This window comes from Homo sapiens, chromosome X, assembly GCF_000001405.40.
Source record: "Homo sapiens chromosome X, GRCh38.p14 Primary Assembly".
In the NCBI taxonomy this organism is placed as follows: Eukaryota; Metazoa; Chordata; class Mammalia; order Primates; family Hominidae; genus Homo; species Homo sapiens.
In genome coordinates, this window is record NC_000023.11 from 77,408,428 (window position 1) to 77,424,173 (window position 15,746).

At 42.5% G+C, this 15,746-nt stretch overlaps 2 annotated features.

The window, feature by feature from the left end:
• Positions 13,777-14,634: an enhancer, noted in NCBI's record as "NANOG-H3K27ac hESC enhancer chrX:76642667-76643524 (GRCh37/hg19 assembly coordinates)". NCBI's record gives its function as "activates a minimal SCP1, AML or CMV promoter by ChIP-STARR-seq in primed H9 embryonic stem cells {active_cell/tissue: H9 hESC(primed)}" and the evidence as "EXISTENCE:reporter gene assay evidence [ECO:0000049][PMID:30033119]".
• Positions 14,635-15,492: an enhancer, noted in NCBI's record as "NANOG-H3K27ac hESC enhancer chrX:76643525-76644382 (GRCh37/hg19 assembly coordinates)". NCBI's record gives its function as "activates a minimal SCP1, AML or CMV promoter by ChIP-STARR-seq in naive H9 embryonic stem cells {active_cell/tissue: H9 hESC(naive)}" and the evidence as "EXISTENCE:reporter gene assay evidence [ECO:0000049][PMID:30033119]".

The following is a 15,746-nucleotide window of genomic DNA, read 5'->3' on the forward strand; positions in this document are numbered from 1 at the left end:
TAGGCTTTTAATTATTGCCTCAATTTCAGAACATGTTATTGGTCTATTCGGTAATTTGACTTCTTCATGATTTAGTCTTGGGAGAGTGTGTGTGTCTAGGAATTTATCAATTTCTTCTACACTTTCTAGTTATTTGCATAGAGGTGTTTATAGTATTCTCTGATAGTAGTTTGTATTTCTGTGGGATCAGTGGTGATCTCCCCTTTATCATTCTTTATTACGTCTACTTGATTTTTCTCTCTTTTATTCTTTATTAGTCTGGCTAGTGGTCTACCTATTTTGTTAATCTTTCAAAAAAACAGCTCCTGGATTCACTGATTTTTTTCAAGGATTTTTCCTGTCTCTATCTCCTTCAGTTCTGCTCTGCTCTTGGTTATTTATTGTCTTCTGCTAGCTTTTGTATTTGTTTGCTCTTGCTTCTCTGGTTCTTTTCATTGTGATATTAGGGTGTCAATTTTAGATCTTTCCTGCCTTCTCTTGTGGGCATTTAGTGGTATAAATTTCCCTCAAAACACTACTTTAGCTGTGTCCCAGAGAGTCTGGTACATTGTGTCTTTGTTCTCATTGGTTTCAAAGAACTTATTTATTTCTGCTTTATTTTCATTATTTACCCAGTAGTCATTCAGGAGCAGGTTGTTCAGTTTCCATGTAGTTGTGTGGTTTTGAGTGAGTTTTTCAATCCTGAGTTCCAATTTGATTGCACTGTTATCTGAGAGACTGTTTGTTATAATTTCCGTTTTTTTGCATTTGCTGATGAGTGTTTTACTTCCAATTATGTGGTCAATTTTAGAATAAGTGTGATGACGTGCAGAGAAGAATGTATATTCTGTTGATTTTTGGTGGAGAGTTCTGTAGATGTCTATTAGGTCCGCTTGGTCCAGAGCTGAGTTCAAGTCCTGAATATCCTTTGTTAATTTTCTGCCTCGTTGATCTGTGTAATATTGACAGTTGGGTGTTAAAGTCTCCCACTATTTTTGTGTGGGAGTCTACATCTCTCTGTAGGTCTCTTAAGGACTTGCTTTATGAATCTGGATGCTCCTGCATTGGGTGCATATATTTAGGATAGTTAGCTTTTCGTGTTTCATTGATCCCTTAACCATTATGTAATGCCCTTCTTTGTCTGTTTTGATCTTTGTTGGTTTAAAGTCTGTTTTATCAGAGACTAGAATTGCAACCCTTGCTTTTTTTTTTCTTCCCATTTGCTTGGTAAATATTCCTCCAACACTTTATTTTGAGCCTATGTGTGTCTTTGCACATGAGATGGGTCTCCTGAATACATCATACCAATGGGTCTTGATTCTTTATCCACTTTGCCAGTCTGTGCTTTTTAATTGGGCATTTGGCCCATTTACATTTAAGGTTAATGTTGTTATATGTGAATTTGATCCTGTCATTATGATGCTAGCTGCTTATTTTGCCCATAAGTTGATGAAGTTTCTTTATAGTGTTGATGTTTACAATTTGGCATGTTTTTGCAGTGGCTGGTACTGGTTTTTCCTTTCCATATTTAGTGCTTCCTTCAGGAGTTCTTGTAGGGAATGCCTGGTGGTGACAAAATCTCTCAGCATTTGCTTGTCTGTAAAGGATTTTATTTCTCCTTCACTTATGAAGCTTAGTTTGGCTGGATATAAAATTCTGGGTTGAAAATTCTTTTTTCTTTTTTTTTTTTAAGATGGAGTTTCACTCTTGTTGCTCAGGCTGGAGTGCAATGGTGCGATGTTGGTTCACTGCAACCTCCACCTCTCAGGTTCAAGTGGTTCTCCTGCCTCAGCCTCCCAAGTAGCTGGGATTACGGGCATGTGCCACCACGCCAAGCTAATTTTGTATTTTTAGTAGAGATAGGGTTTCTACATTTTGGTCAGGCTGGTCTCGAACTCCCAACCTCAGGTGATCTGCCTGCCTCAGCCTCCCAAAGTGCTGGGATCACAGGCACGAGGCATCACACCCGAAATTCTTTTAAGAATGTTGAATATTGGCCACTACTCTTTTTTGGCTTGTAGGGTTTCTGCAGAGAGAATCACTGTTATTCTGATAGGCTTCCCTTTGTGGGTAACCCAACCTTTCTCTCTGGCTGCCCTTAACATTTTTTCCTTCATTTCAACCTTGGTGAATCTGACCATTATGTGTCTTCAGGTTGCTCTTCTCAAGGAGTGTCATTGTGGTGTTCTCCATATTTCCTGAATTTGAATGTTGGCCTGTCTTGCTAGGTTGGGGAAGTCTTCTATAACTTTCAAGTACACCAATCAAACTTAGGTTTGGTCTTTTCACATAGTCCCATATTTCTTGGAGGCTTTGTTGGTTACTTTTCTTTCTTTTTTTCTCTAATCCTGTCTTCATGCTTTATTTCATTAAGTTGATCTTCAGTCTCTGATATCCTTTCTTCTGCTTGATTCATTTGGCTATTGATACTTGTGTATGCTTCACAAAGTTCTCATGCTGTGTTTTTCAGATCCATCAGGTCATTTATGTTCTCCTCTAAACTGGCTATTCTAGTTAGCAATTCCTCTAACCTTTTTTCAAGGTTCTTAGCTTCCTTATATTGGGTTACTACATGCTCCTTGAGCTCAGGGGAGTTTGTTATTCACCACCTTCTGAAGCCTACTTCTGTCAATTCATCAAATTCATTCTTTGTCCAGTTTTGTTCCCTTACTGGCAAGGAGTTGTGATTTTTTGGAGAAGAAGTGGTGTTCTGATTTTTGGAATTTTCAGCATTTTTTGTGCTGGTTTATCCTCATCTTCGTGGATTTATCTACCTTTGTTCTTTGATGTTGGTGACCTTCAGATGAGATATCTGTATGGACGTCCTTTTTGTTGATGTTGATGCTATCCCTTTCTGTTTGTTGGCTTTCCTTCTAATGGTCAGGCACCTCTCCTGCAGGTCTGCTGGAATTTGCTGGAGGTCCATTCCAGACCCTGTTTGCCTGAGTATCACAATCGGAGGCTGCAGAACAGCAAAGATTGCTGCCTGTTCCTTCCTCTGGAAGCTTTGTCCCAGAGGGGCACCTGCCAGATGCCAGCTGGAGCTCTCCTGTATGAGATGTCTGTCAATCCCTGCTGGGAGGTATCTCCCAGTCAGGAAGCACAGGGGTCAGAGACCCACTTGAGGAGGCAGTCTGTCCTTTAGCAGAGCTCAAGTGCTGTGCTGGGAGATCCACTGCACTCCTCAGAGCTGGCAGGCTGGAAGGTTTAAGTCTGCTGAAGCTGCACCCACAGCCACCCCTTCCCCCAGGTGCTCTGTCCCAGGGAGATGGGAGTTTTATTTATAAGACCCTGACTGGGGCTGCTGCCTTTCTTTCAGAGATGCCCTGCCCAGAAAGGAGGAATCTAGAGAGGCAGTCTGGCTACAAAGGCTTTCCCTAGCTGGGCTGGGCTCTGCCCAGTTCATACTTCCCAGCAGCTTTGTTTACACTGTGAGGAAAAAACCACCTCCTCAAGCCTCAGTAATGGTGGACGCCCCTCCCCTCACCCAGCTTGAGTGTCCCAGGTCAACTTCAGACTGCTGTGCTGGCAGCGAGAATTTTAAGCCAGTGGATCTAAGCTTGCTGGGCTCCATGGGGATGAGATCCACTGAGCTAGACAACTTGGCTCCCTGGCTTCAGCCCCCTTTCCAGGTGAGTGAACAGTTCTGTCTCACTGGTGTTCCAGGCACCACTGTGGTATGAAAAAAAAATCCTGCAGCTAGCTCAGTATCTGCCCAAGTGGCCACCCAGTTTTGCGCTTGAAACCCAGGGCCCTGGTGGCATAGGCACCCAAGGGAATCTCCTGGTCTGGGGGTTGCGAAGACTGAGGGAAAAGTATATAATCTGGGCCAGAATGCATCATTCCTCATGGCACGGTCCCTCATGGCTTCCCTTGGCTAGGGGAAGGAGTTCCCTGACCCCTTGTACTTCCTGGGTGACGTGATGCCCCACCCTGCTTCAGCTCCCCCTCCATGGGCTGCACCCACTGTCTAACCAGTTCCAATGAGATGAGCCAAGTAACTTAGTTGGAAATGCAGAAATCACCCACCTTCTGCACTGATCTCACTGGGAGCTGCAGACCAGAGCTGTTCCTATTTGGCCATCTTGCCAGCCACCTCAAGAGATCACTGTTAAAGCCACAGAAGTAAATAGAATCCATCAGAGATCTGAGGGATACCTTCTAAAATAAAAATGGAAGAGGGCCGAGGATGGACTCGTGGACTCAACTACTTTTGAGAAATGGAAGAAGTAGAATGGTTCAACCAAGGAAACTGAGGAAGAGCAGTCAGGAAGTAGAAGGAGAACCAAGAGAATATTGTCATGAAAATCAGGGGAGGAGAGTTAATAGAAAGAGGGTGAGTACAGAGAAAAGTGGTCAAGGAAGTAAGAACAGAATAAAGGCCATTTGATTTGATGACCTTTGAGAGGGTGGTTTCAATCAAGCCTTTGAGGGTAAAGTCTACACAGCAGAGAACTAAGACCTGAGAGATAAGGTAGCCAAAGCCGGTGACAGGATAAAGAGGGTAGTCAAATTCTTACATGAACAGAAAAGTTAGCCCAGGACTTTCAAAGACAGCGAAAACTGAGCTTTCTGTCCTCCCTATCGCTCTCTTGTGAAAGTCACCTGAGGCTCCTTGGTCTTTTTCCTGTCTTCTTCTGAGCCTATCCTGCTTCCTGCCTTGTCCCGTTCTGTTTTGTATAGGCTACAAAGAATTTGATTAAAGAAAATGTAACCATTGTAAATACTTGTCCTCTGATCCCAACTGGGAACTGCCTATCGCCCAACATAATTTCTAATTATCTCATATTCACTCCCCAAAGCAATGGTTTCAATTCTTGCCACTTTGCTTAATACCCTGGCTTCCACCGATTCTTTCTTGGCAGATGATCTCACCTCCTACTATACCTGCCAGATAGTCTTATTGGGCCCAAACTCTCTCTATCCTACCTCAAATATCTTAAACTCTACACCCTTGCTCTCATTCTCCTCCTTTCCTCCAAACTTTGAGGAGAATGCCAGTGCCCAAACCCATGCCTTCAATTAAGTTCCCACCAGCCTGCCTCCAGAGCTCTGCCCCTTATTTTATCCCCTCTTAGAATGATTCAGATGTGTGTATCTTTTCTCCCCAACAAGACCCTGAGTTCCTTGTGGCAGAGACTGTGTTACACTGTCTCATAGCTTCTATAGCAAAACTTATAAAAAGCAATTAAGAGAGCAATCTGTTTCAAAAATTGAATTCACTTTAAATACTTGGAAAACCAAAGCTTCTGAGAAGCAATATAGTATAGTGATTAAAAACACATACTTTGGAGCCAGACTACCTGGATTAGAATCCTGGCGTACCCATTATTAGCTGTGTGATCTTGGGCAATTCACTTATTTTCCAGCATTTTATTATAAAATTTTTCAAACATATACCAAAGTTTAAAAAATTTTACAGGGAACACTCATATACCAACCACTAGATTCTACCATTAATATTTTACTATATTTGCTTTATCATATGTAAAAATATATATCTCCATCTATCCATTCATCAAACCATTCTTTTTTTGTTCTGTTGCATAGTAAGTTGTAAACATCAGTACACTTCCCCCTGACTACTTTAGCAGGTATATCATTAACTAGAGTTTCTCTGGGCCTCAGTTTTCTCATCTATAATACAGGGATAATAAGTACCTTCCTCAAAAGGTTTAGGGGAGGATTAATACATGTAAACACTTAGAATGGTGTCTGCATATAGAAAACACTCAAAACAATATTAGTTATCATTGTTATTACTCTAGCAAATCCCACCCTCCGCCGCAATTGCTCCTAAGAGAACCAGGCCAGCCAGCCAGCCAGCCAGAGTTACATCTCTGCCTCCCTCTTTTAACCCCACATACACATAAATCCATGAATCGTCTCTAGGAGTTCCTACACCAATGAGAGTTTATCCTTGTGCCCAAAAGAAATGAATTCCTCCACCCTTTATACCCCTAGACATTCATTCAGTCACCCTGGCCTGAATCCATAGAGTTTCATGCTCCTTAATTAGTGAAATGAAGCAACTGCTGATCGAGGCTTCATGGAGGTGCCTCCTTCATCCCTCCTTTTAAGAGCAAATGTGCCTACAGAAACTGCTTTATTCCCTTAAATCGAGGTGACATTCTTCAATTCCAATCTCAAAAAATAAAAATAATAATAATAGTTTAAAAACCTGCAAATATCCTAAGACTATGCTCAGAAGATACAATCCCAATGTGTATAATACTGCCAAGGTATAAATAGACATATCATACAATCACTGACTATCATGGCTTGTCATCAGAATCTACTGGAGAGCTTGTTTGGTACAGATACTGTGTCCCACACCCAAATACTGGCATTCAGGACACCTAGTATATGCCTCAGGACTCTGTCCTTCCAAAAAATGCCTCCAGCTGATTCTGATGCTCAACTAAGTTTGGAAACCAATACTTCTGTTTTTCTTCCTTCCAGACATGTGGCTTTTTTCTTCTATGCCACTGAGTTGTAGTACTCTTGAAATCTGCCAGCTCTACCCCTTGCTCCATTCACTGTCATCTTACTTTATAAAACCACAAATAATAACAGCAATGGCTACGAATAATAATGTTAAAAGGAGAGACATTTAACCCTCACAAAATCTCTGTGCTATGGGAGTATTATTATCTCCATTTTATAGATAAGGAAACTGAGAGTTAAGGAACTTGTCCAGGATCACATAGCTAGTAAGAGGTGGAGCCAGCAATGAAAACCGAGTATCTTAAGCCCAGATTTCCCTTCACTTCATAACAATTTCGTTAGCCAAGTTGGTGGAGATGTCCAGTGAGGCTGAGGAAAGGGCAGGGACTGGGGACTAAAGCAGAGTGAACCTAGAGAAGTGGTTCTCAACCTTGGATAATTTTGCCCCCCCAGGGAACATTTGGCAATGTCTGGAAACATTTAAGTTGTCAAAACTGGGTGAGAAGCTGCATCTGGGTCAGGGGATGCTACTGGCATCTAGTGGATAAAGGGCAGAGATGCTACTAAACATCTCACAGTGCTCAAAACAGCTCCACCATTACCACCACACCCCCCAACATACACACCCCAAAATACTATCTGGCCCAAAATGTCAAGAGTGCTGAGGTTGAGAAAGTTTAACCTACAGTGTTGGAAATTGACTGAAAATGAGGAAATAAGTTTATTTTAGCTATAAAGAGAGAATGAGGTAAAAAATAGAGCAAGGGAGGAATGCCAGAGACCAGGCACCACAATGTCCAGGCCCTGCCCAAAGAGGTCTCAGATAAATCATGAAGGTTTTTTGCTTAATAGCCCTAAAAGCAATGCTCCATTTCTCCCCTTGCCTGGAACTTTTGAAAAGGGACTTTTGAACCACAGTTCCCATCATAGTTCTAGAAACATTGCCCAGAATAGTCTGGGTAAGAGTAATTTGCTCTCACAAACAAAGAAGACTCAGCAGAGAGGGACATGGAGAGAAAGGTAGAGAAACAGAGACATAGGCTGAATGCAGACAGCGCAAGCATCAGAATATACACAGGAAATAGCCAAAGAGATTCCACTTGGATAGTCACAAAATAAATAATGTAATTGGGAAAAATTAATCTAAAAAACAAATGTTTCTGAGGTAAGAGGAAGCTGAAGAACATCAGGGCCAAGAGATATTTGAACAATGAGCCAAGAGTTGGCCTTAAGCTGTGGTCAGTTGCAGAGTTTATTTTGGGGCTGCCTGGATAGTCCCAAGGTCTAACTGGGGCACAAGAGAGATCTGACCCTCTATCCAGGGACCTAGTCATTAGGAAAAAATACTCAGAGCTGGGTAGATTGGGAAGCCTAGAGAAGACCTTGAAATATGATCTTGGGCCAGGTGCAGTGGCTCATGTCTGTAATCCCAGCACTTTGGGAGGCTGAGGCGGGTGGATCACCTGAGGTCAGGAGTTCAAGACCAGCCTGGCTAACATGGTGAAACCCCGTTTCTACTAAAAATACAAAAAAAATAGGCGGGCATGGTGACCCATGCCTGTAATCCCAGCTACTCGGGAGGCTGAGGCAGGAGAATCGCTTGAACCCAGGACGCCAAGGTTGCAGTGAGCCAAGATCGCACCATTGAACTCCAGCTTGGGCAACAAGAGTGAAACTCTGTCTCAAAAAAGAAAGAAATATGATCCTGGAGAATCAGCCAGTGACTGATGAAGCCAGATAAAAGAAACTAAATCTGGAGTGGAGAAAACCTGAGGAGGGAAATGGTAGCAGCCTGCAGCTATTTTGACTATGTAGACACAGCTAAAGAGAATTGAGCTGGCTGGTTAGGGCTGGGGGTACAGGGATCAAGGGCAAGAGGGTACTGAATTCTCAGGGGGACAAAGAATCAAAAAGGGAATCTAGGATATTAAAGACTATCTCCACCTGCATTTCAAATGTGTTTGGACTGGCCCTGAGTCCCAAAAACTACTCTTGCTTGGTTGGTGGAGATGGCAAGACCCAGCTAATGACAATATTTGTATCAGACCTTACCACCCAAACTTTCTTTACCCAGACTTGTCTCTGGGATATAGTCAGCTCTAAGGGTAATATAGTGCTCTGAGGTCCTTTCCAGGTAAGGTGGGCAGAGAAGGCTTCATAAAAGTTAATTGGCTGACTTCATTTATTAAACAAATATTTACCAAGACCCAAAGTGTGTAGAAGATTGTGATAGGAAACATTGGCAATACAAAGAAAATACTGGACATTGTCCCTGTCTTCAAATTTCGTATAACATATTTCAAGAAGCATATCAACAGTGCCATACAATGTTCCTTGGATCACTGATAAAGGCAGTGTGCAAAGAAGACCAAGGGTGCCTAGACAGTCCGTCAATGGGCTTCAGAAAGGTCACTGAGACCTAATGTCCAGAGATACTTCTTAGAGACGCTGGGCTTTGAAGTATAGGTGAAATTCAACAAGGCTGAAAGAAAAAAAGGAAGTTCTGTCCAGGAGAAGAGAACAATCAAGAGCATAGTTTGCGTGTAAAAAGATCTCATTAAGGAATGGGAGTGTAAGGACCATTCTTGATGCCCCTCAGATCATTCCACATGGGTGAATAGGTTACTTACCATTTCTGCCTATATCTAAGGTCAGCTTTCAAACACCTCTTTACTAAGTTCAATAAAAGCCTTTTCTGCCCCCTGGCTTGGCCCTGGATTTACTTTGACATCCTTTCCACAGTGATCCAACTGGCTGGCTCCTCAAGATGGGTTTCTGATGGGTGGATTATGTTCCATCACCCACAATCTGGGGTTACTAAATGAATAAGTACCCATCTAGCCATGTTATGTCAGGATACCTAGAAAGGCCTGAGTGATTTAATTTCAATAAACATCATGTAAAGATGTGTCCTAGGCCTTCTGCCTGGGATATGTTGACAGATATAAACCCCAAAAGGAGTTGTAGCCATATCTGAGAGCTAGCTTGGGGCCACCAGTAGGAAGGGAGAAGAAAACCCAATGCACCTTTCTAAATCTGTCTGATATTTGCAGCCACCAGGTTGCAGGAGGTGGTTTTTATTGTTTTCACTGGAAGCACAATGAAAGGACATTAACTACTTAAAGGAAGGTAGTATTTGGTATCTGAAACACATCTTACTCTCAATGGAAAATCCTCCTATTATACATTAAATATAGCCAACACTGTAGGACAAGAGATACTGTAATGAAAAACAGGAGTAGACCAATGGTCTCTCCTACCACAGCCTGCAACCTCCCTCAGTAATGACCTGTCTGGCTCCCTTCTTAGGTATTCCTCTGTGCCACACAGCTAATAGATATTTTGTTCATTCAATCATTCATCCAATTATTCATTCAACAATTCTTCAATAAGCACCAGTTATGAACCAGGCACTGGGTATCAGCTACTGGGAATTCAATCAAATGAAATAATCCTAGTCCCTCTCCTCCTGGGGCTTACATTCTAGTGGAGGAGACAGACATTTTTTAATTGCACAAATAAACATATACTTATAACCTGTGATCAATGCTGTGAAAGAAAAGACCAAAGTACACCTGATTCTCATTATTCGCAGCAACTACGCTCCATAAAGTTTTCACAAACACTAAATTAGCAAATCCTGAATCATTGTTCCTGGGAAATACAGTGTTAAGTTTCTGCAAGCCTGTAGTCACAACATTTTTACCAACCAACCAATACATAACCTTGTTTTGTGTGTGTTTCTGTTTAAAGACACTTTAATATATATTGTTAATTCATTAACATTGAACTCACAGCCAGCAGCGCTATAATTCATGCATGAATTAAGCTGCTTGTCTAACATACATAGTTTCTCCGTAAGGCACATCACAGCCTTCTTGTGCTTAGGAACCATAGACAGCACTTCAGCACTATGCATGAGGGCGATTTTAAACAAGGAAATCACCAATAAAAAGCACAAAAATTGCAAAAGACACAGCACTAAATAGACCACAAGAAGGACTCTTGTTTAGAGTATGAGAACTGAAGCAAAGCAGAGCATCACCTCGTTCAGCTTCAGCTGGGACATATGTCTCAGACAATTCAAAATTTTCACTGCTCTGGTGTCATAATCTTAAACACCTAGTAGAGGCAATGCCAGCTTATTTAATCAGTAGATTTTTCTAAATTTGGGAAGAACATACCTAAGTAAAATAAAAATGTCCACTCATATTTAACACTGATAAATCAGAAAAACATAGCTTTTCATTGAAACAAAAACACTGAACTACTCTCATTTGCCAGATTTACCTAATTTATATGAACTTGAATTTTTTAAAAACATTTGAGTTAATTTCTATAAGAACACTTTTTAAGAACATTTATTGTATTCAATACAATATCATTTCCTTAATTTCTGGGAATTGTAGGAACATTCAATTTATACAGCAGTTATTTATCTCTAAGCTAATCCGAATAAAGCTCCTGTAAGAGATTTTAAAATCTAATTTGGTAATACCATCCAAAGGTAGGTAAATATCCCACACTCCAATTCCTCAGGGATCTAGAACTAGAAATACCATTTGACCCAGCCATCCCATTACAGGGTATACACCCAAAGGATTATAAATCATGCTGCTATAAAGACACATGCACACGTATGTTTATAGCGGCACCATTCACAATAGCAAAGACTTGGAACCAACCTAAATGTCCAACAATGATAGACTGGATTAAGAAAATGTGGTACATATACACCATGGAATACTATGCAGCCATAAAAAATGATGAGCTCATGTCCTTTGTAGGGACATGGATGAAACTGGAAACCATCATTTTCAGCAAACTATCGCAAGGACAAAAAACCAAACACCGCATGTTCTCACTCATAGGTGGGAATTGAACAATGAGAACACATGGACACAGGAAGGGGAACATCACACACCGGGGACTGTTGTGGGGCGGGGGGTGGGGGGAGGGATAGCATTAGGAGATATACCTAATGCTAAATGACGAGTTAATGGGTGCAGCACACCAACATGGCACATGTATACATATGTAACAAACCTGCACATTTTGCACATGTACCCTAAAACTTAAAGTATAATAATAGTAATAAAAAAATCCCACACTCACACAATGAAAGGTAAAGTTCTTTCTGAATTGTGTATAAGCATACAAATGGATAGCTTATAGCTTTAATTCTAAAATTTCAGCCAAGGGTCAAATGGAAACATAGAATTACAAAACCCATTTATCTGTATCAAAGAGCTGTTCTCTTCCTGATGGTCATGGAATTCTTTTTTTTTTTTTTTTAGATGAAGTCTCGCTCTGTCACCCAGGGCTAGAGTGCAGTGGTACAATCTCGGCTCACTGCAACCTCCGACTCCTGGGTTCAAGGGATTCTCCTGCCTCAGCCTCCCATGTAGTTGGGACTACAGGTACATGCCACCACGCCCAGCTAATTTTTGCATTTTTAGTAGAGACAGAGTTTCACCATGTTGGCCAGGCTAGTCTCAAACTCCTGACCTCAGGTGATCCTCCCGCCCCAGCCTCCCAAAGTGCTAGGATTACAGGCATGAGCCACCGTGCCCAGCAGATCATGGAATTCTTAATTGATTTAAGCTCAAAAGAGATAAGTAGACTAACAAACCAGATACTGTCATCTTTCACCCAACAGAGACAAGGTCTCTATAAACCTTGTCTCTGTTGGGAAAGACAGAGATCACTGAATGGTCAGATCATGCAACCAAAACAAGCCAGCACCAGAAATCAAGCAAGTATTCAAAAAGAATCAAAATCAAATCTTTATGGATCTACCAATAAACAAGAGCCCAAACCACAGGAGCAAGAACTGGACTCACCATTGGGTCCCCAGATCACTAGTCAGGAGAGGAACACAAAGGGCTCTGACAGATCTTGTTACCTGGGTGATGTGATCTGAAGGTGAGGTCCAATTCCTTCTAAGTCATGGCACCAAAACTGTGAAGAATAAAATGCAACAGACAACCAAGGAGATGATTTTATTTGAGCTATTGTAACAGGGAGGGAGAATGTTCATTAAGAGGGAGAAAACTTAGGGTGGATCTTATCTGAGTCATTGAAAAAGGGTGGAGGTGGGTTTTGTCTTGCCATTTATGAGGGTGGGATGGTCCTTTGCAGTTAGCTTCTTGGAACACAAAAGCATCACAAAACAGTAGGGGGTTTTCTTGACTGTTGCTACTTTTCCAAGAGCACAGAGCTCAAAATAAAGCTCAATCTCGTCAGGCCAAACCATGCAGCACCTTATTGACCATGGTAAGGCTGTTTGCTCTTTATCCTAAGAACAACGGGAAGTCATTGAGGGTTTAAGGAAGACTATGGCGTGGTCACTTGGCCTGAGATAGCCTGGCTGTATCCTCCTACTAACTTAGCTCACTGCCTTCAGTGCTTCCTGGCTGGGTTTTCACAGGCTGCTGAATTTCAGGCTCCCTTATTGCTATGATGTCTCTGCATGACAGGCTGCCCAGTGGGGACCCCGGGCTTCCTCTCTCAGGCTTCCTGCTTTTTTCAGACCCTGCTGCTCAGCTCGTGTCCCATCCCTTACAGCAAAATCTCTCCCTAGGGCCTATGCCACCATGATGAGTATTGATAGTCTGGGGATCACAAAGTGGCCTACAGGAGGCAGACAGATACTCTAAACAAGGAAAGCGTGCAGTGTATAATACAACAGGCAATGGTGAGGGACTGTGGCAAGCCGGAGAGTATCCCTGGGCACAGATCCTGCCCCAGTGTGGCAGCCACTACTCAGCATAACTAATTGTTGCCAAGCCGGCAACTTACCCAGTGTTTTCTCATCCTACCATTTTCAACTTTCTGGATTTTTAAATGTGGGCAACCAAGTCAAAATGTTTTAAAATATTGTTCAGGTCACATAGGGTGTGAGTGCTGAATTTAGCCTACAGATTCTCACTTGGCAACTTCTATTTTCATCCTAAAGAGATCCTGGACCTGTCAGCCTGCTCTCCACCCCACCCCAGCTGCCAGCAGTGCTCAGCAAGTCATCAATCAATCACCTTTTGCCCCGTGAGCAACACTGGTACCTACAATGTTCTCTGAATTCTCTGAAAAATTCTCTGAATGAGCAAACCAGCCTCATTCAGAGAATAGGCCCATCTGAGTCTATTACAGAGAAAGAGTTAAATTCTAATACTCAAGAGTGGAGGCTTCATCAGCTACCTGTCAGGGACTGAAATACAGGGGAACCTGGTGGCAGAGGCTGCCACTGACCACACAAAAGCTGGGAAACAAGGCATTTTCTCACTAAGGTAGGTGAGGTTCAATTCTTTCCCTCTTTTACCCTTCCTCTGGAGATGTGGGCAAGAAGCAGAGGAATAAAAATGGCAGGCAAGCCCCATGGTAATCTACCAGCCACAAGACAACCAGCCTCTAGCAAGTTCAGATCCACTGGTCCAACCTCTCTCAGGTCACTTTCCCAAAATTTATCCAAGGACCCCACATTCTGATGGGAGAACACTGAGACAAGAATGGCATTCTATCATGCCCTAGGTTTGTCAGGCCTCAACACAATCAAGAACAATGTTCTGAGAAGCTTAGGCAGTGGCTTTACACATAAGGCAGTAAGAAAGAACAATTTATTTTCATAACCAGCTCCTACACCAGACAATTCAGAAAAGAGCCAAGGGACAAAGTCACAGAGCATGCATACAGGGCATGCATGCTTAAAATACACACTCATGCTCACAGACCACGCAGGCACTCCCCTCACCTCCCACCCCCACCTCTGCCCACACCTGCAAACTCAAACCAGCCTCAGCCAGTAAACCCTTCACCTTCCCCTCCTCATTCTCAACACACGCAAAATCCTTGGCATTGATATTTCAGGCACAAAACTTATTTCTGTTCAACATTAATAGCACCAGAGGAACTTTTAACTGGGAATTACAACTCTTTCCAAAGTAGTTTAACACTGGACCCCAGCAAAGGCCCCAGGCTGTTCTGTGAGCATGTGAAAAGCCTCAGGAGCTGCTTAGAAGGATTAACAGAAATAATCTTTCCAGGCTAATGGCTTTTCTGGGCCCCAGGTCTGATCTCCAAGCCTGGAACAGAGCTCATCAGGCCCTGACTCAAAACTCAGGAAGGAAGCAGGTAAATTGCTACAGACTGCTTCCTTGTGCTATTGGATCTCTTGCAAGACAGAACCCCCCAATGTGGTCCTAGAGGCCTCAGGCACTTCCTGCATGCAAATACACTGTGTGTGCTGCATGACAAGCCTAATGTGGACAAAAAGTAGGTGGCCCCCTACCAGGGCAGCTTGAGAAATGGCTTAAGAGATTCCCTAACAACAACAACAAAAACAAAAACCGAGCTCTCCCAAGCCCAAGCACCTGGAATCCACTATTACTCATTCCTCCTAAAGCTCAAAAACTCCCTGTTGAAATATAAACATATCGTCCAATTAACACCCATTAACACATTAGCATGGATTCCTTTTCCAGATTGGCTGATAAAATAGCCTACAGAACAGAAAGTAGAGTCCTAATGGGATGGTAAATAGGTTTAGGTAAAGGTCAGCAAGGCTGTGGGGTGGGGGTGGGGGTGGGGGTGGGGTGGTCCGGGGTGGAGGGGAAGAGGCCTGAAAGGCAATAACAGTGATTCTTTTACTGGTTACAAAGTGCTTGAGCCTCACAATAACATTGGCGAGACATCAGAGAAGGGTTTCTTGTCTCCCTCTTACAGTGCCTAAAGAGGTTAATTGCTGAGCTCAGTAGTATATCAGTTCATCATTTGAATTGAGCTCTACAAACATTTCCTGAACATCTGCTCCACTCAGGCAATATGTTCTTTGTCCAGGATACAGAGATGGTCAAGACATTGTCCCCACTCTCAAAAAGCTTAGTCTACTGTAGGTGACAGTCACAGGTAGTAAGAACAAAAGGCAAATATCATGATAAAGGAAATAGTCGGCACTGTGAGAACATAGAGAAGGGACATCTGACTCAAATCAGGTGGTGGAGGTACAGTAAGGTCACGGAAGTTTTTCTGCAAGAACTAACACTTGAACCCAGATATTCTCACGTCAAACCTCGTACTCTTTCCATACTCCTGATGATAAACTTCATGATGCCTTGACAATTTGTTTCTCTCAGTTCATGGATAAGTTACACCATGCTGTAAGATAATAGAACATCTTAGGTCCTTACAGCTTTGGCTGTCAGGTCAGCCAGTCTTCCAGGCCCAACCTTATAGTCAGGGTCTCCATGGGCCAGTGGGAAAGGGAGGAAGACAGGAGGTCTGGAATATGGTTGAAAATCAAGTTCTCCCTCATTGAAAGCCAATTA